Here is a 21,152-nt window from a genome sequence, read left to right on the forward strand (position 1 = left end):
GGTGGCACGTGACCGTAGTCCCAGTTATTCAAGAGGCTGAGGTGGGAGAATCGCTTGAACCTGGGAGACACAGGTTGCAGTGAGCCGAGATCCTGCCACTGCACTCCAGCCTGGGTGACAAAGTGAGACTTTGTTTCAAAAAAAAAAAAAAAAAAAACTTTGGTACGATACTATTAACCAAAGCCCATAACTTATTTGGATTTCATCAGTTGTCCTTTTTTCTGTTCTAGGACCCAATTCAGGATCCCATATTGCATTCAGTCATCATGTCTCCTTAGTGTCCTCCAATCTATGACAGTTCCTCAGTCCTTCCTTGTTTTTAATGACCTTGACACTTCTGAAGAGTGTTCATCAGTTATTTTGTAGAATGCCCCTCGATTTGGTTTTGTTTGATGTTTTCTCATGATCAGAGTACGGTTATGCATATTGGGAAGGATACCACAGAAGTGATGTGCCCTTCTCAGTGCATTGTATGAGAGAGTACATGATGTCAATGTGTCCTATTACTGGTGATGTTAACCCTGATCACTTGGTTAAAGTGGTGTCTGCTGAATTTCTCCACTGTAATTTTCCATTTGTAACTATTAAATATTTTGGGGGAGATACTGTGAGACTATTCGAACACCTTCGTTATGCTTAAGCTTTTGTCTACTGGTTTTAGCATCCATCAGTAGATTTCTCCTGAAATAATTGTTATTCTTGTGTTTGTCTAATGGCAATTTTGTATTTCCTTTATTCCTTTAGCATTTATTAATTGACATTCTCCTATTAGGGAGATCTGTCTTCTTTCCTATTTATTCATTTTTCAGTTATTTATTTATATCAGTATGGACTTATGGACATTTCATTTATTCTCTGGGTTATAATCCAATACTATGATAGTTATTTTATTGTTCAAATTTTTTCTGCTTTGGCCATTAGAAGCACTTTTCAGATGGTTCCTGTGTTCCTTTGACATGTTCCATACTTTTCTGAGTACCTCTTTATTTTCTAGAACCATATGAAACTCCAGGCTCCCCTTGTATCCTCCCTGCCCCAGTCAAATCAACCACTTCTCCAAGGAGCCCTAAGTCCTTTCATTGAGAATGACATTTAGAAACCAACATTTGGACACTAGGTGTACTCATTGCCTCTGGGCCCTCTCAGTGGACAAAGTTAGGAAACACATATAGGAAGACACACATCCCTATATTAAACACACACAGACACACAGACACACACACATACACACTTCATACTGATACTACCTTCTCCAATCCAACATCACAAGGTTCATTCTAGGCTTTTCCCATTCCCTATGTGTAACAGTGAGAAACCTAGGTCTCATTACCCACTATATCTACTACATATTTACTTATTTGGTCAACCTTACTGTACAGATAAAGTAGTTTCAGAATTGCCAACCAGTACCCCTTTGAGAAACAAATTTATCAACTAGAGCAGGGGTTGGCAAACTTTTTCATAGAGGACCAGGTAGTGAATATTTTAGATTGTGCAGACCATACAGCATCTGTTGCAATTACTCAGATCTGCTGTTGTACCTTGAAAGCAGCCATGGACAATATGTAAATACACCATGGTTGTGTTCCAATAAAACTCTATTTATAACAACAGATGGCCAGCCCACAGGCTGTAATTTGCTAACCCCTGAACTAGAGTACAGTGTGTGTATACAGTTATTTTTGTCTTTAGGTTAGGCTTGCAGTATCTAGTCAAAACACTGTTTTCCAAGACTTAGGTCAGCTCCTTTCTTTTCCATACCTTTTAGTGTGGTTACTTGATTCATTTGTAATGTAATTAGACTCATTTTTCAGTCTGAATTCCATCTTTCTTGACACACCCTGGTTGATTCTTTAAATTTACTTCTTGTGGCATACAATTCCTTAGCTTTTGACAAACATATAGTCATGTGTCCACCAGCATAAGTCCATAGAGAACCATTCCATCACCCTCAAAATTCTCTAGTGCTGTATCTTTATAGACAATCTGTCCTCCCAACTTCTGGCAACTACTGATCTGTTTTCCTCCCTATAGTTTTGCCTTTTCCAGAGTGTCATGTAAATGGAATCATGTAGTATGTAGTCTTTGAGGTTTGGCTTTTTTTCACTTAGTAAAATGCATCTAAGAATCAACATAAGTGAAAATGCAGATGGCCAAAGTGATGAGAACAAGGAGGACTATACAATCCCAGATGAGTATAGAATTGGACCATAACAGCCCAATGTTCCTGTTGGTATAGACTATGTAATACCTAAAACAGGGCTTTATGGTAAGCTATGTTCACTCTTTTATACAAAAGAAGTTGCAAAGAATACTCATTGCAGCAGCCTTCCTCATTATGAGAAATTAAATAAATTTCTGAATAAATTGGCAGAAGAATGCAGACAGAAGAAGGCAACTTAAGATGTGCAAGAAGATTTAAGGGTTTCAAAGAAAATAATGGTTCTTTGTGTTTAATGTTAAACTTTTTTAAATACAATACTGACAGAAGAAAACTATTGTACTCTTTTGTTTTGGTGGAGAAATAATGTCTGTTCATGTGTTAAGTGTTATAGCAAAAAAATACATACGATTAATGAATAGTTGTTTTATAGAAGTAATTTGTAGAGATTGACTTCGTAAGCTACTTAAGACAACTTGCACCACTAAGAAAAAAATGCAGAACCATTTGGGAAAATGAAATTTAGCAGTTCCAAGCTTCAAAGAAATGTCAGTATTTGATTCCATTTAATAAAGAACAAAACCAATAGTATTTTTATTACTTTCATCTGAAACATTCCATGTTTTAATCTGAGCCTTGCAAACTTTTCATTTGGAGTTTGACCCTTTTTTGGTTGCATTTCATTTTTGGAGAACTTCATTAAAATGAGATTGGCAATTCAAATGCAGGTGCAGTTTTCTGTAAATGTCATGCTGTTGTTTAGGTAATAAGAAATATTAAGTAATTGGCTTTAGGTTTTGTATTTTTTTCCCTGAGTTCCTGCTAGATTTTATATTCTAGTAGTCAATATTTTCAGTGAAACGTAAAAATATTCCCATTCTCTTTGACCAGTACTAATTTTTGAGATCTTATTGCTTGTCACTTGAATCCTGTAATCGTCATACATCTCTGGTGTAAGCAACATTTGATTTTTGAAGTGTGTAGACCACCTCTTCATATTTTCAAGATGTAATTTTATATTTCTGCATCTTAAAAACAGTTTGGCCATAATCCTAGATGCACGCTTCTAATTCATGTACCTGCACATGTGACCTTTGTGAACAGAAATGTGCATGTATAATCTGTGTTTACTTGTAACTTTCTGGTTATATACTGCTTGTATCTGTGGATTGAAGTTACTGAAGTGAATACCAATTAAAAAAAAACAAAAAAAAAACCCTAGGCCATGTTCATTGGTTACACATGTTTGGAATGTACTGACAAAAAAAAAAAAAAAAAAAGAATCAACATAGAGCACGATGGCTGACTAGAGGTGCCTGGTGCTTGTCTTCCCCACAAAAAAGGACCAAAACAACTAATAAACAACTAAAATTCAAGTGGAGTGTCTGAGGGAGAGCACTGTGGTGTAGCAAGTGACTGGCAGCAAGAACCCTGTGAAGTAGAAAAGCCCAGGATGGCAGCATAGAGAGGAGAGCGAGGCACCCTGGCTCTGCTGCCCCATCTCCCCTATTGGGATTGGCTCAGAGACAGGAGGGACTTCCCCTTGCAGGGAAAAGGTAAGCAAAAGGCTCCCACCGTCCCTCATTGCCAGCCCAGACACCTGCAGTCCTTACTATAGGAGAATCCTACAGTCCTCCCAAGTGCTGAGCCCAGTTTGGGGAGCTGCCTAGAATTCACACAACTATATTACTCCAGAGTACAAGTACATGTTGTGCACTTCCTATTTCTCATGACCAAAGCTGCTGCAGTACAGTGCCATCTTGAAACTGGAGCTACTGCAGGAGTGCAGTAGTTGGCCCCCCTACTCTGGGGGCCAGTAGCCATTGTACCTCTCCAACCTTGACTCTTTGCCATCATTTCACCAACCCCACACAGGTGGCTGCAGTGCCATGACCTCAGCTGCTCGAAGCCTGGCCCCAGGAATGGCCATGACTCTGGTCCTGCATAGTAGAAAGCCAACCCTGGACCAGCCTGACGGAGAAACAGCCTGATGGACCCATGTCCCTGGGCAGAGAAACAGCCCAGTGGCTCCACCCCTGGCAAGCCAGTTCCCAAGTCCCACGCCCCCAGGCACAGAAATAGCCCAGCAGCCCTGCCCCTGGTTGGCAAACCAGTCTCTGAACCAGCTGACCTGCCATGTGCCTATGACCTTGGCTAGAAAAACAGTCTGGCAGCCCTTCTCCTCATGCATGTCTACACCCCAGGCCCGGAAATCAGTCTGTTCAGGAGCCCACCCCTAGCAAAGCTACCCACCACACTCACAACTCCTGCAGCCTAGGCCATTGAGGTACTCACAAACATCTATTATGTGGATTACAGCTCAAGAAACTGCACAGAGACTATAATAACTGTGTCCACCTAGAACCAAAGCCAGTGTATCCTACCTAAACCAACACCTTAGGACCCATCTCCAGGAAAGTCTTTCCCTATCAAAGCTGCTCCATAAATTGGAAGAGGTACCTGCTCCACCAGATGTGCATATATCAATTCAGGGACACAAGAAACATGAAAAGGCAAGGAAACATGACACATCCAAAGGGACGTAATAATTATCTAGTAACAGACCTCAAAGAAAAGGAAATTTATGAAATGTTATAAAAGAAACTCAAAATTATGATCTTAAGGAAACCCAGCAAGATATAAAAGAATAAAGATAGATAATAAAATCAGGAAAACAATTCATGATCTGATGAGAAATTCAACAGATATTATTTAAAAAACAAACTTTAACGCAGAAGAATTCAATTAATGAAATAAAAAACACAATCAAGAGCTTCAACAGATGAGATCAAGCAGAAGAATTTCTGAACTTGGAGGCAGATCTTTTGAAATAAACCAGGCATACAAAAAAAAAACGAATAAAAAAGAATGAAACAAGCCTATAGGACTTGCAGAACACCATAAAGCAAACAAATAATCACATTATGGAAGTTTTAGAAAGACAAGAGATGGGAAAATGTGCAGAAAACCTATCTGATGAAATAATAGCTGAAAAATTCCCAATTCTTGGGAAAAATATGGATATCCAGATCCAGGAAACTCAAAGTTCCCAAATAGATTCAAACCAAAAAATGTTCTCTCAAAGGTGCATTATAGTCAAAATGTCAAAAGTCAAAGACAAAGAGAAAATTTTAAAAACAGCAAGAGAAAAGCATAAAGTTACATATAAGGGAATCTTCATTAGACTAGCAACAGATTTCTCAATAGTAATCTCACAGGCTGGAAGAGAATGAGATGATATATTCTAAGAGCTGAAAAAAAAAAAAAAAAACCTGTCAGGCAAGAACACTATACCCAGAATTAGACCAGCCTTACAAGAAATGCCTAAGGGAGTTCTACAACTGGAAGTGAACATATGATAACTATCATCATGAAAACATGCAAAAGTATAAAACTCACTAGTACATACAGAAAGGAGCACATACAGAAAGGGCACATACAGAAAGGAGAAAGAGAAAGAGAAAGAGAAAGAGAAAGGAATCAAGCCTTATCACTACAGAAAACCACCAAACTGTAAAGATAAACAATAAGAGAGGAAGAAAGGAACAAAGGATATACAAAACAACCAGAAAACAATTAACAAAATAACAGGAGAAAGTCCTCATTTATCAATAATAACCTTGAATGTAAATAGATTAAATTTCTCAATTTAGATGTAGATTGGCTGAATGGATAACAAGACTCACATGATACCTACAAGAAAGTCACTTCACCTGTAAAGACACACATAGACTAAACTGGAAGGAATGGAAAAAGATGTTCCATGCAAATACAAACCAAAAGCAAGCAGGAGTAGCTATACTTATATCAGATAAAATAGGCTTTAAGTTGAAAGTAAAAAGAGACAAAGAAGGTCATTATATAATAATAAAAGCATCAATTCAGCAAGAGGTTATAATAATTGTAAATATATATGCACCTAACATTGCAGCATTCAGATATATAAACCAAATATTATTAGATCTAAAAGGAGAGTTAGACTCCAGTACAATAATAGTGGGAGACTTCAACATTCTACTCTTAGCATTAGATAGATCATTTATACAGAAAATCAACAAAGAAATACCAGATTTAAACTACATTATAGACCAAATGGACCTAACAGACATTTACAGGGCATTTCATCCAACAGGTACAGAAAATACATTAGCACATGGAACATTCTCCAGGATTGATCATATGTTAGGTGATAAAACATGTCTCAACAAACTTTAAAAAATTGAAATCATTATCAATTATCTTTTCTGACTGCAATGAAAACTAGAAATCAATAACAAGAGAAACTTTTGAAACTGTACAAATACACAGAAATTAAACAACATGCTCCTCAATGACCAACGAGTCAATGAAGAAATTAAGAAAGAAATTTTAAAATTTCTTAAAATAAACGAAAATGGAAACATAACATCCCAAAACCTGTGGGATACAGCAAAAGCAGTACTAAGAAGGAAGTTTATGGCAATAAATGCCTACATCAAAATAGTAGAAAGATTTGAAATAAACAACCTAATGATGAACCTCAAGGAATTAGAAAAGAACAAACAGAACCCAAAATTAATAGAAGGAAAGAAATAACAAAGACCAAACAAGAAATAAGTGAAATTAAGGCCAAAAAATACAAAAGATCAACAAAATGAAAAGTTTTTTAAATAAACAAAATTGGCAAACCATTAGCCAGACTAAGAATAAAAGACCCAAGTAAATAAAATAAGAAATAAAAAAGAGACATTATAACCGATACCACAGAAATACAAAGGATTATTAGAGACTATTATCAAAAAGTATATGCCAAGAAATTGGAAACTCTAGAGAAAACAGATACATTTCTGGACACATACAACCTACCAAGATTGAACCAAGAAGAAATAGAAAACCTGAAAAGACAAATAACGAGTAATGGGACTGAATCAGTAATAAAATGTACTCCGATGAAGAAAAGTCCAGGAATGGATGGCTTTATTGCTGAGTTCTACCAAACTTTTAAAGAGCTAAAACCAAACTACTCCAGTAAATTGAAGGGGAGGGAATTCTTCCAAACTCACTACAAGGCCAGCAGTACCCTGAAACCAAAACTGACGAGGACACAAGAACAACAAAAAACCCATGGGCCAATATCCCTGATGAACATAGATGCAAAAATCCTCAACAAAATACTGTCAAAACAAATCCAACAGCACATCAAAAAGATTATACACCATGATTAAATCTGATCAAGTTGGTACCTTGTATCTTTTTATTGTTGAGCAGTATTCTACTGCATGAATATAGTGTAATTTGTTTATCCCTTCCTCTGTTGAAGGTTTTTTCCAGTTTTTGGCAATTATGAATAAAGCTGCTGTAAACATTTGTGTGCAGATTTTTTTGTGAGCATAAGTTTTCATTTCTGTAGGGTAGATTTCTAGGATGACATAGTTGGGTTATAAGGCAGGTGTATGATTAAATTTATAAGAAACTGCCAAACTGTTTTCTAAAGTGGGTGTACCACCCTGCATTGCTACCAGGAACGGCTGTAGAAGCTTTAACACTTTTAAAAGAAACTATAAAGACAACTCAGAAAACTTAAAGGTTTCTTGAAATCACAGACACAGGTCATACTTAAGGCCCCCAAAGGCACAATTTATCCTTAAAGTCACAGCCTTAAAGAAAACAAAGGTACATAGGGACATACCTGAAGCTTGGTGATGATTTCCTGTTTTGTGAGCTCCACCAACTGGCTATCCTCTACTGCAAAGGCAGGGAAGGAAACCACTGAGAGTAGACTAGCATCAACCTCTTTTGATGTTGAAGCACGGGGCAGTAGTGAATTTAGGATAGACTAAGAGAAAAGAAGTTAAGTTTATATAAAAGGATGTATTTCTTCTCCCTTTACCCCAATATCTTATCAACACACATGATATCACTTTTGAATATGTTTGACAAAATAGAAAAGAACATTCTTTATCTATTTTAAGTAGGTTAGTAAATACCTTAGCATTGTAAAACTAATAGCTTTAGTTTCAAAAGATTTATGTAGAAGAGGACCATTCACAAGAAAATCTAGACATTATTCAATAGTTAGAACTTAGAAAACCAGCAATTTCTGAAAATCATCCCTTGTCTTAATTCTGCTCTCAATACTTCCCTATCCTGATTCTTAACCAGTTACTCACAGATAAGGAATATTCTAACATTATTATACCACCCACAGTCCTGTTGCTCCATTAGCAACTACTTAAGAATAAAGTCAAGAGAAAACACAGCTGCTAAGAAGCAGGATAGGGAAGGCTCAGCTCCTCTACTTCTGACCCACTTTTTTCCTCTGGGAAATTTTGTGTTTTTAAAATTGGAGATGAGTTTATATTCAATAGGACCCTATGGTATCTAATCAGGGTTTGAAGGAAAGGAGAAAATTCCTCATGCCAATGAGAAAAACCTTAATCTTTCAATATGGAGAGTAATCCTAAACAAAACTGAAAATACATATTTGCCACTTAAAGTCTAATCTCCAAATATCTAAGCCTAGAGCCAACCAGGAACAAGAGAATGTTTCAGAAACACTAACAAGAATACTACAAATCCATCATCTCTGGTTTTCTTTATATATTTAGAAAAGGAGATACTCAGAAAGAGAGACCATATCCCTTTGATATGATAGTGGTGGATAATTCCACATAGTATGGTGGGATCCCTTTATAACCTTTGGCTAGAGAACAGGACTATGATCTATTTTATAGCCCATGCTATATTTGGCTTATCTCAGTATAGTATGCTTGTTAAATATATTTTTGGTACATGGTAATTAATCAGATGATGCACTGTCTCTCATTCAGCTATCCTTAATCTAAAGCTCATGCTTAAATCTGAGTCTGGGCAAGAATAAAATTTGCTATTTCCATTTTCCATAATATTTTACCTGGCAGTGCTGTACTTCATCAGCCAGGACATGGATAACTGATTGAGGCCCACCTTTCACACCAAACAGATCCAGTTCATCTAATGCTTCCAGGGCTGCCTGTGAGGAACAAGAAAGAAATGGACAAGTTTAGCATTAGAAAGATATATATTTCTTCTCCCTATATCCCAGTATCTTATCAACACACATGATGTCACTTTTGAATATGTCTGACAGAATATATAATACAAAAACATTATTTATTCCCAGGGCATTCTGAGTTTTTCTTTGTCTCCCATATTGTCTCAGAGAAAGTTAAAAAGGAGTCTGTAGCACTATCAAGTATCATACTTAACCATCATTGTACTCTCTCCTTCTATGAGTTCAACTTCTTTAGATTCCACATATAAATGAGATATTATGTTTTTTAAAATAGAATTTATTTATTTATTTCTTACTTTTCTAAATATATTTTTGATCATAAAAGTAAAACACACTCCTTATAGAATACTTTGAAAACACAGTAAAGTACAGAGAGGGCAAGAAAATCACCCAAAACAACCACTTTTAACATTTTTGACATGTTTTTTATTAGTTTTTTCTATGTCTATTTGTGTACAGTTGAGATCACATCTGGTATCCTACTTTTTACAATTAATAATATAGTGTAAGTATTTTTCCACATTACAAACACTATTTTGACATACTATTATCTCATATGGCTATAATAAAGTATATTTAGCCATTTACCAATTCTTGGAAATTTAGGTCGCCTTTAATTTTGTGCTATTAGAAATAGAACTTTGATAAACATCTCTTGCTAAATTATAAATTCCTTGAGGTCGGGGATTATGTCTTCACTAATATCTAGCACAAACCATGGCATACGGTAGGCTCTCAATAATGACTGTCAAGCTAATAAAATAACTCTTTGTATTCATTTTGAGTTATTTTGTAAGCATCAATTCCCTGAAGTAGAATCATTGGGTAAAAGAGTATGAATAATTTTTAAGACATAATGCTAAATTGCTTTTCTTGCAAGTTGTACCAACATAGCTATCACTAGCAGTATATGACAATACCTTCCTTAATGCAAACAATGTATTATCTTAAACATTTTTTCCTAATGTGATTAAAAAATGGTATATCTGTTGCATTCATATGCATTAAATTGTTAACAAGATTGAATATTATTTCTAGTATTTATTAGTTATCTGTAATTCCTCAATTAAAGGGCAGACTTGACCTAGTCTTGGGGGTAGAAGCCAGTTTTGAAAGTCTTCCCTGAAGAAATGACACCTAAACTGAGACCTATAGGGTAAGTAGAAGTTGGCCAGGCACAAAATACTCATTAATTACTGCCTTACTATTCTACTCCTTACCCTCACCAAACTCATGTCCTTCTCACATATAAATACATTCATTCTAACCCCATAGCCTCAAAGTCTTAATTCATTCCAGCACCAAGGATAAGACTCAAAAGTCCAAAATCTCATCCGTGAGTCTGAAATCAAAACAAGTTATCAACTTTCAAGATACAATGGTGGTACAGGCATAAGACAGACAGAGATATTCCCATTCTAAAAGAGAGAAACAGGCAAAAAGAAAGCAGTAACAGGCTTAAAGCAAGTCTTAAACCCAGCATAGCAGACATTAAATGTGAAAGCTGAAGAATAATCCCTTTTGACTCTGCGCGCAGGTTGGGATTGGGTCTCTAAGGCCTCAGGCAGCCCTGCCCCTGTGGCTTTGATGGGTACAGCACAGGTGGCTGCTTCTATGGGTTGCAGTCTGGTATCTGAAGCTTTCTCAGGCAGACCTTGCATGCTGCCAGTGACTCCACAGTTCTGGCATCCCAGTGGTGGTCCTGCCCTAGTGGGAACTCTCTGTGGAAGCTGCAACCCCATGTTTCTGCTTCAGTGTTGCTCTAGCGGGGGCTCTCTGTTGTGGTTCCACCCCTGTGACAAGTCTCTGCCTGGGCCCAGAAGCTGTTTTTCTTTTTTTTTGTTGTTGTTGTTGTTGTTGTTTTTAATTTTATTACTATTATACTTTAAGTTTTAGGGTACATGTGCACAACATGCAGGTTAGTTACATATGTATACATGTGCCATGTTGGTGTGCTGCACCCAGTAACTTGTCATTTAGCATTAGGTATATCTCCTAATGCTATCCCTCCCCCCTCCCCCCACCCCACAACAGGCCCCGGTGTATGATGTTCCCCTTCCTGTGTCCATGTGTTCTCATTGTTCAATTCCCACCTATGAGTGAGAATATGCGGTGTTTGGTTTTTTGTCTCTGTGATAGTTTGCTGAGAATGATGGTTTCCAGTTTCATCCATGTCCCTACAAAGGACATGAACTCATCATTTTTTATGGCTGCATAGTATTCCATGGTGTATATGTGCCACATTTTCTTAATCCAGACTATCATTGTTGGACATGTGGGTTGGTTCCAAGTCTTTGCTATTGTGAATAGTGCGGCTATAAACATACGGGTGCACGTGTCTTTATAGCAGCATGATTTATAATCCTTTGGGTATATACCCAGTAATGGGATGGCTGGGTCAAATGGTATTTCTAGTTCTAGATCCCTGAGGAATCGCCACACTGACTTCCACAATGGTTGAACTAGTTTACAGTCCCACCAACAGTGTAAAAGTGTTCCTATTTCTCCACATCCTCTCCAGCTCCTGTTGTTTCCTAACTTTTTAATGATCACCGTTCTAACTGGCGTGAGATGGTATCTCGTTGTGGTTTTGATTTGCATTTCTCTGATGGCCAGTGATGATGAGCATTTTTTCATGTTTTTTGGTGGCATAAATGTCTTCTTTTGAGAAGTGTCTGTTCATATCCTTTGCCCACTTTTTGATGGGGTTGTTTTTTTCTTGTAAATTTCTTTGAGTTCATTGTAGATTCTGGATATTAGCCCTTTGTCAGATGAGTAGGTTGCAAAAATTTTCTCCCATTCTATAGGTTGCCTGTTCACTCTGATGGTAGTTTCTTTTGCTGTACAGAAGCTCTTTAGTTTAATTAGATCCCATTTGTCAATTTTGGCTTTTGTTGCCATTGCTTTTGGTGTTTTAGACGTGAAGGATAGCTTACCAACCAAAAAAAGTCCAGGACCAGATGGATCCACAGCAGAATTCTACCAGAGGTACAAAGAGGAGCTGGTACCATTCCTTCTGAAACTATTCCAACCAATAGAAAAAGAGGGAATCCTCCCTAACTCATTTTATGAGGCCAGAATCATCCTGATACCAAAGCCTGGCAGAGACACAACCAAAAAAGAGAATTTTAGACCAATATCCCTGATGAACATCGATGCAAAAATCCTCAATAAAATACTGGTAAACCAAATCCAGCAGCACATCAAAAAGCTTATCCACCATGATCAAGTGGGCTTCATCCCTGGGATGCAAGGCTGGTTCAATATACGCAAATCAATAAACGCAATCCAGCATATAAACAGAACCAAAGACAAAAACCGCATGATTATCTCAATAGATGCAGAAAGGGCCTTTGACAAAATTCAACAACGCTTCATGCTAAAAACTCTCAATAAATTAGGTATCGATGGGACGTATCTCAAAATAATAAGAGCTATCTATGACAAACCCACAGCCAGTATCATACTGAATGGGCAAAAACAGGAAGCATTCCCTTTGAAAACTGGAACAAGACAGGGATGCCCTCTCTGACCACTCCTATTCAACATAGTGTTGGAAGTTCTGGCCAGGGCAATCAGGCAGGAGAAGGAAATAAAGGGTATTCAATTAGGAAAAGAGGAAGTCAAATTGTCCCTGTTTGCAGATGACATGATTGTATATCTAGAAAACCCCATTGTCTCAGCCCAAAATCTCCTCAAGCTGATAAGCAACTTCAGCAAAGTCTCAGGATAGAAAATCAATGTACAAAAATCACAAGCATTCTTATACACCAATAACAGACAAACAGAGAGCCAAATCATGAGTGAACTCCCATTCACAATTGCTTCAAAGAGAATAAAATACCTAGGAATCCAACTTACAAGGGATGTGAAGGACCTCTTCAAGGAGAACTACAAACCACTACTCAATGAAATAAAAGAGGACACAAACAAATGGAAGAACATTCCATGCTCATGGGTAGGAAGAATCAATATCGTGAAAATGGCCATACTGCCCAAAGTAATTTATAGATTCAATGCCATCCCCATCAAGCTACCAATGACTTTCTTCACAGAATTGGAAAAAACTACTTTAAAGTTCATACGGAACCAAAAAAGAGCCCGCGTCGCCAAGTCAATCCTAAGCCAAAAGAACAAAGCTGGAGGCATCACGCTACCTGACTTCAAACTATACTACAAGGCTACAGTAACCAAAACAGCATGGTACTGGTACCAAAACAGAGATATAGACCGATGGAACAGAACAGAGCCCTCAGAAATAATGCTGCATATCTACAACTATCTGATCTTTGACAAACCTGACAAAAACAAGCAATGGGGAAAGGATTCCCTATTTAATAAATGGTGCTGGGAAAACTGGCTAGCCATATGTAGAAAGCTGAAACTGGATCCCTTCCTTACACCTTATACAAAAATTAATTCAAAATGGATTAAAGACTTAAATGTTAGACCTAAAACCATAAAAACCCTAGAAGAAAACCTAGGCAATACCATTCAGAACAGAAGCTGTTTTATATATCCTTTGAGATCCAGGTGGAAACTGTCATGCTTCTGCAGCTCTTGCATTCTGTGGGCCTGCAGAATTAACACCACATGGATACCTTCAAGGTTTATCACTTGGACCTTTTGGAGTAGTGGCATGAGCTGAGTGAACACTGAAGCAGGGGTGCCGGGAGTACAGTTCCAAGGCAGTCCTGGGCACAGCCCATAAAGAACACCCCAGGCCTGTCCCCTGAAACTATTCTGCCCTCCTAGGCCTTTGGACCTGTGATGGAAAAGGCAGCATCTAAGATCTCTGAAATGCCTTGGGGTCTTTCCTCCATTGTCTTGAGGAATAGCACCTGGCTCCCGTTCATCATGCTGATAAAGTCCAATGTCAAGGGGCCCCATCTGGTGAGGGCTTCTGGCGGGTAGAAACTCTGCAGAGTCCCAAGGTGGAATGGGGTATCAGATGATGAGGGGGCCTGAGTGTGCTAGCTCAAGTGTCTCTTCCTTTTCTTATAAAGCCACCAGTCCCATTCCCATGATAACTCACTAATCCATTAATCCATGAATTGATTAATGCATTCATGATGGAAGAACCCTTATGATCCAGTCACGGCTTAAAGGCTCCACCTCTCAATACTGCTACATTGGTAATTAAGTTTCAATACGAATTTTGGTGAGGGGGGACCACAAACATTCAAGTCATAGCAATTACAAAGGGAAAATAGAAAATTTACAGTGGAGAAACCTGGCAGATACCACCTTAATGAAGTCATAAAAGATAACATCAACAGTAATGGGACAAATTCACATCATGTGCTTCCTGATGATAAACTAAGGACACAGCATCACCTCTGTGGTATTCTTGCCAAAAACACATAACCTGAACCTATATCGTGAGGAAATATCACACAAAATCAAATCGAGGAACATTCTGTAAAATAACTGGCCTATGCTCTTCAAAAATGCTAAGGTCATGAAAGACAAGTAAGGACTGAGGCACTGTTTCAGACGGAAGAAGCCTAAAGAGACATTACAATTAAATGTAATATGTTATCTTAGACTGGATCCTGGATCAAAAGGATTTTTTTTTTTTGCTATAAATCACATTATTGGGACAACTAAATAAATTTGAATGGGCTATATCAATTAGGTGGCAGTATAATGCCAGTGTTCATTTCCTGATTTTGATGCTTGTATCATGGTTATAAAAGAGTCCTTGAGGAAATTCACACTGAAATATTTAGGAGTAATGGGGCATCATGTCTGCAATGTACTCTCTACTGGTTCAGAAAAAAACAATTGTGTGTTTGTGTGTTTGTTTTGTTTAATCAGAGAAAAAGATAAAGCAAATATTAACAAGTAGGGAACTTGAGTGAAGGGTACTATATAGGAATTCTTTGTACAATTATTATAACTTTCCTCTAAGTCACAAATGATTACAAAATAAAAAGTAAAAAAGTTTAAATGGTAAAAAACTTTAAATCAAATATACAAAAATATTGATAATATCCAGGTAGTGAGAGTTTGAGAAAAGTGGCAAAAAAGCTCTATATGTAAATTTGTAATAATAAGTACCAGTGCAAAAAGAAACAAGTTGTAATAACATGTTCTCAATATTTGTTTCCAAAGGTATTTCTCTGTCAAACACTTTCATTCACTGAAAGAAACAGCATATGATTAAAAAAAAAAGAAAAGAAAAATGACATCTATGGTACATAATGACGTATATCTATCATATGAGGATGGGAAATGTAAACTAGTGGAAATATTTTTGAAGGGCAATTTATTTTTTTTTTCATTTGAAATTTTTTTTTATTATACTTTAAGTTTTAGGGTACATGTACACAACGTGCAGGTTTGTTACATATGTATACATGTGCCATATTGGTGTGCTGCACACATTAACTCGTCATTTAACATTAGGTATATCTCCTAATGCTATCCCTCCCCCCTCCCCCCACCCCACAACAGGCCCCGGTGTGTGATGTTCCCCCTTCCTGTGTCCATGTGTTCTCATTGTTCAATTCCCACCTATGAGTGAGAGCATGTGGTGTTTGGATTTTTGTCCTTGGGATAGTTTGCTGAGAATGATGGTTTCCAGCTTCATCCATGTCCCCACAAAGGACATGAACTCATCATTTTTTATGGCTGCATAGTATTCCATGGTGTATATGTGCCACATTTTCTTAAGCCAGTCTATCATTGTTGGACATGTGGGTTGGTTCCAAGTCTTTGCTATTGTGAATAGTGCCACAATAAACATATGTGTGCATGTGTCTTTATAGCAGCATGATTTATAATCCTTTGGGTATATACCCAGTAATGGGATGGCTGGGTCAAATGGTATTTCTAGTTCTAGATCCCTGAGGAATCGCCACACTGACTTCCACAATGGTTGAACTAGTTTACAGTCCCACCAACAGTGTAAAAGTGTTCCTATTTGTCCACATCCTCTCCAGCACCTGTTGTTTCCTGACTTTTTAATGATCGCCATTCTAACTGGTGTGAGATGGTATCTCACTATGGTTTTGATTTGCATTTCTCTGATGGCCAGTGATGATGAGCATTTTTTCATGTGTCTTTTGGATGCATAAATGTCTTCTTTTGAGAAGTGTCTGTTCATATCTGAAGGGCAATTTAAAAGTATACATCCCTTAACCTAAGGGTTCCACTTTGAGGAATTTTTCCTATAAAAATATTTGTGTAAATTTACCTGGATGTATGTACAAGGATCTTCACTAAAGCATTATCTAGAATGTTAAAAAATAAAGACAATTCTGTCAATGGAGCAATTATTAAATACTGTATAGCAGCTGAAAAGAATGAACTAAATTTGTCTGTGTGAAATGACATAGAAGGATGTTTGGTTATGTTGTTCAGTGCACTATGAGATTGTTAGGCTGGGTGCAGTGGCTCATGCCTGTAATCCCAGCACTTTGGGAGGCCAAGGCAGATGGATCACCTGAGGTCAGGAGTTCGAGACCAGCCTCGTCAACATGGCAAAACCCTGTCTCTACTAAAAAAAAAAAAAAAAATTAGCTGGGCATGGTGGCAGATGCCTGTAGTCCCAGCTACTCGGGAGGCTGAAGCAGGAGAATCTCTTGAACCCAGGAGGTGGAGGTTGCAGTGAGCCAAGATCGTGCCACTGCACTCCAGCCTGGGCAGCAGGGTGAGACTCCGTCTCAAAAAATAATAATAATAATAATAAATAAATAAATAAATAAATAAAATAAAAATAAATAAAATAAAAAAATGGAATAAAATTCTATTGTGACTCCCTTTGTCCTCTCTGTTCCATGCAATATTTTTTACTTTGAATTCTACTTCACTTGACATTCACAGTCACCCTAGCTCATTTTATGCTTGTCAGACTGTATTTTGCTCATCCTTCTGTTTTTAACCTTTCTGTATCATTTTGTTATATTAGAGCTCTTATAGACAGCATATATTGGATTTCCTTTTATTTTTTAAAATCAATCTATATCTTTGCATATTAGTAGGACAGACTAAATCATGCATATTTCTCATAATGGATATGTTTGATCTTATTCCTGCTATCTTATTGTATGTCTTCTTGCTGTTTCCAGAGAAGACAATAGTGGGTAGGATGAAAAAGTAGAGCCAAGTTGAATAGTAATGCTGCTGCTGCTAATGATGATGATGATGATGATGATTTGGGGGATGGAGGAAAATAAAGAGGATAGAGGATTGAAAGATGATTCCTTGATATAAAGCTTGGTCAACTGGTAAACGAAAGGAATAAAAGCCTTCTTTTGCTTGTTTTTGTAATGGTAGAGATGATAAGTTTAGTTTAAGTCCTTTCAAGTCCTTATGGCATATAATATAAGTAGAGACATGCCACAAAAGCAGTTGGATATCAAATCTGCAGCTTATGAAAGTTTTCATCTACATATCCATGGTTCTACAGGAGAATCTGAATGTTGCCTGTGGTTTAAAATAATAATTAATTTGATTATGGTCCACAGTCACATTAAGTTTTATCTGTGACAAAGGGATACCAGACTTCCTCATCCCATACTTAGTACAAACAGGAAAGGAAAATTACCTTTGCCATTCCAACTGAACTGGCATTCAACTCTGAGATCCCTTGGTTGGTCTTGTCTCCACGTTCCCATATCCCGAAGTCCTGGCATAAAATAACCAATATACAATTAGCAAGTCATAACTACTAAATACTTCCTAGATGCAGGAAGTGTTTACCCTTGAATAAAAGACACTAGGAGTAACTAATTTGCCATATATATATATATATACCCACAATGCTTATTAAGGAGATGCTAATGTGTGGGGTGGCCCCTGCAGCTACTTTGCCAATAGCTTTAAATTCTACTGGGGCCTCCAAGCCATTGGAAGACTCCTCAACAGTTAATCAGGAGGGCTAAGAACTATAACTCTGTCTATCTGGAGAGGTGTTTCTCAAAATTTTTCATTAAAGCAAATACCCAGTAGATCTGCAAGATGGAGCCTAAATAGCAGCCCAATATTTTATTGTAAACATTCATTCTAATTTTACTCTCTATTGGTACTGACAACGTACCATGCACTAATTTACGCATTTTACATTATCTTTCTTAATCCTTACATTTTATAGATGATGAAACTGATGATGCAAAGAGAAGTTAAGTGACTCACTCAAAGTCACACAGTTAATAAGTGACAGAGCCAGGATTAGAATCCAAGGAATCTCACTCCAAAGCCTACCCTCTTAGCCAGAGCTCTATAAATCCCCTGAATCATATAGCCTTTAAAATTACTTTTAAAAACTTTTTATTTTGGAATAACTTTAGACTTATACAAAAGTTGCAAAAACACTACAAGGAGTTCCCATATGCCTTTCACTTAGCTTCCCCTGATGTTAACGTCTAACATAACCACAGTGTAATAGTTAAAGCTAAGAAATTAAAATTGGCACAATACTATTAACCAAACTATGGACTTTATTTGGATTTTACCACTTTTTCCACCAATGGCCTTTTTACATTCCAGGATCCAATCCAGAATTTCATGCTGCATTTGTCATGTTTCTTTAAGTCTCTTCTAATCAGTGACAGTTCCTCAAGTCTTGTCTTTTGTGACCTTGACACTCTTTGAAGATTAGTGATCAGGTATTTAGTAGATTTTCCTCAATTTGGGTTTGCTTAATGTTTTCTCATTAGACTAGACTGAGATTATGCATTTTAGGCAAGAATATGTATTACAGACATTATGCTGTGTCCTTCTCAGTGCATCATAGCAGGGATATACAATGCTGATACGTCTTATTACTGGTGATATTAACCCTCATCACTTGGTTAACGTGATGTCTGCTGGGTTTCTCAATTCCACTGTTACTATTTTTTTGTTTGTAATTAATAAATATCTTGAGAGAGATACTTTAGGAATATGCAAATACCTTGTTTCTCTCAAACATTAACCCACTAATTCAGCAACCACTGATGGATCTTGCCAGAAACAATTATTACAGTGGTGCTTTAATGGTGATTTTCCAGTTCTCTTCATTACTCCTACAGCCACTAGTTGCAACTCTTCTCTAAGGAAGAGCTGTCCTTTCTCTCCCATTTATTTATTTATTTATTCAGTTATTTATATTACTATGAACTTACAGATATTTAGGTTTTTCTCTGGCTTATAATAAAACACTATCACCATTTATTTTGTTGTTCAAACTGTTCCAGCTTTGGCCATTGGGTATTCTTTCAGGTTGGCTCCTGTGACCTTTTGACATGCCTATTCCTTTTTGAGCATGGCTGAACATGGTAGGTCCTGCCTGCAATCCCAGCAATTTAGGAGGCTGAGGTGGGAGGATCACTTGAGCCCAGGAGTTCGAGACCAGCCTGGGCAACACAGTGAGACCCGGTTTCTACAATTTTTTTTAATTAGTCAGGCATGATGGTGCTTCTATAGTTCCAACTACTAGGGAGGATGAAGTGGCAAGATAGCTTGAGTCCAGGAGGTTGAAGCTGAAGTAAGCCATGATTGCGCCACTGAATCCTAGTGTGGGTGACAAAGAGAGGCCCTGTCTCAAAACAAAACATAACAAAATAAAACACTCCCTTTTTGAACGTTTCTTCACTTTTTGGCACTGTAAGATGCTCCAATCTTATCTCATATTTTCCCCGCCATAGCCCTGGAATCAACCACTTTCATAAGAAGTCCTGGTTTACTTGATCAGAAAATGAGAGTCAGAATCCAAGACCTGGGCACTGGGTACACTCATTGTCACTGAGGTGTCATTGCTTCTAGGCCCTCTCATTAAATGGAACTTGGAAACAGACATGTGCAAATGTGTATGTGCATACACACAAACACACACCCTCCCACACACATCTGTATCTCTGTATCTACCTTTAATTACTTTTCATGCCAAATCTCTGAGTTAAAGTGAAGTTTCAGGAAGGTAAGCCATGTTTAACCCATGACTGGCCTTATCTGTCCCCCAATCCAGCTCCATTCTAGTTTGTGCAGCAAAGGTTAGAGTATGAGAATACAGAAATATCAATAATTCTACTGTTATAATCATTGGATATAATGGAGAGGCCAAAGAACCCTAACTTCCGCACTGAACCACAGCAGGCCTGTGGTGTCAGAAGCAAAGCCATCAGTCAACAAATAATGTCTGCTTGCATAAAATTATCTATGTTAGGTTTGTGCTTCTGGTGAATATGAAGTCACAGGTTCCAGATTTACCTTCCCACCTGCAACAACTAAAAAACTATTTATAACATAATGGTTTTCAATACAATGAACACTACACAATGAAGGACAGTGATTTCTGAGAAAGGGCAGCAAATAGGATGAGTCCTATGACTGTCCCAGCTTACTGTTGTAAGAGTTTGCAGGCCACTATACAGGAAGGAGAAAACTAAACAGAGCCTGGCAGACTCCCTGAGTTGAGGAAATGGCGCTAAGTACAGATACACCAAGGTAACCATAATTTGCAGGACAGACTAACGGAGAAGAGAAAGCTACACAGAAAACCACAGAAATCTGCAGAGGGTCCCCCTCAAATATTCAGCAGAATAATGAAGAATGCATGTAAGTGAGAAAACTACTTGAGGCTAGGGAAAGAACCACCCAAAGAATTAAAGGGAAAAAATACCTAGTGCTCACACAGGACAAGAAATAGTGCCTGTTTCAACTAGCCAGACTAGAAAACTTCATAATTCAGGGGGCATGGGGTAGAGTATTCAGAAGTGTCTTACCTATGTAGTGGAGAATAACTAGCCCCAGACTAGACATGACTCTGGTCCCACAAAACACATTTTAAAAGTAATAATGGATTAAACTGTTTTCAACTAAATTAACTAGGTCCCTGAACAAAGCTCGGGAATATTTACAGGAATACAACAATATCTAGGATGCAACATGATAAGATTCATGATGTCTTTCATCCAGTAAAAAATTACTAGGCATGCCAAGAAGCAGGAAAATATAGCCCATAATGAGACA

The 21,152-nt window shown here is 37.5% G+C and overlaps 1 protein-coding gene and 1 pseudogene across 8 annotated transcripts in view; one reads left to right on the plus strand and one right to left on the minus strand.

Annotated features, from left to right (window-relative positions):
- The window catches only part of PHKA1 (phosphorylase kinase regulatory subunit alpha 1), a 135,493-nt gene that overhangs the window by 79,508 nt on the left and 34,833 nt on the right, over positions 1-21,152 (minus strand). For all 8 annotated transcript variants that reach the window (NM_001440788.1, NM_001440787.1, XM_047442160.1 and 5 more), the window contains 3 exons: positions 17,749-17,829; positions 9,054-9,152; positions 7,830-7,976 (listed from right to left, as the gene is read on the minus strand). In NM_001440788.1, coding sequence (NP_001427717.1) covers positions 7,830-7,976; positions 9,054-9,152; positions 17,749-17,829 — 327 coding nt within the window. The remainder of the gene's footprint in view (positions 1-7,829; positions 7,977-9,053; positions 9,153-17,748; positions 17,830-21,152) is intronic.
- Positions 2,136-3,416, plus strand: MATR3P1 (MATR3 pseudogene 1; annotated as a pseudogene).

This window comes from Homo sapiens, chromosome X (genome assembly GCF_000001405.40).
Source record: "Homo sapiens chromosome X, GRCh38.p14 Primary Assembly".
In the NCBI taxonomy this organism is placed as follows: Eukaryota; Metazoa; Chordata; class Mammalia; order Primates; family Hominidae; genus Homo; species Homo sapiens.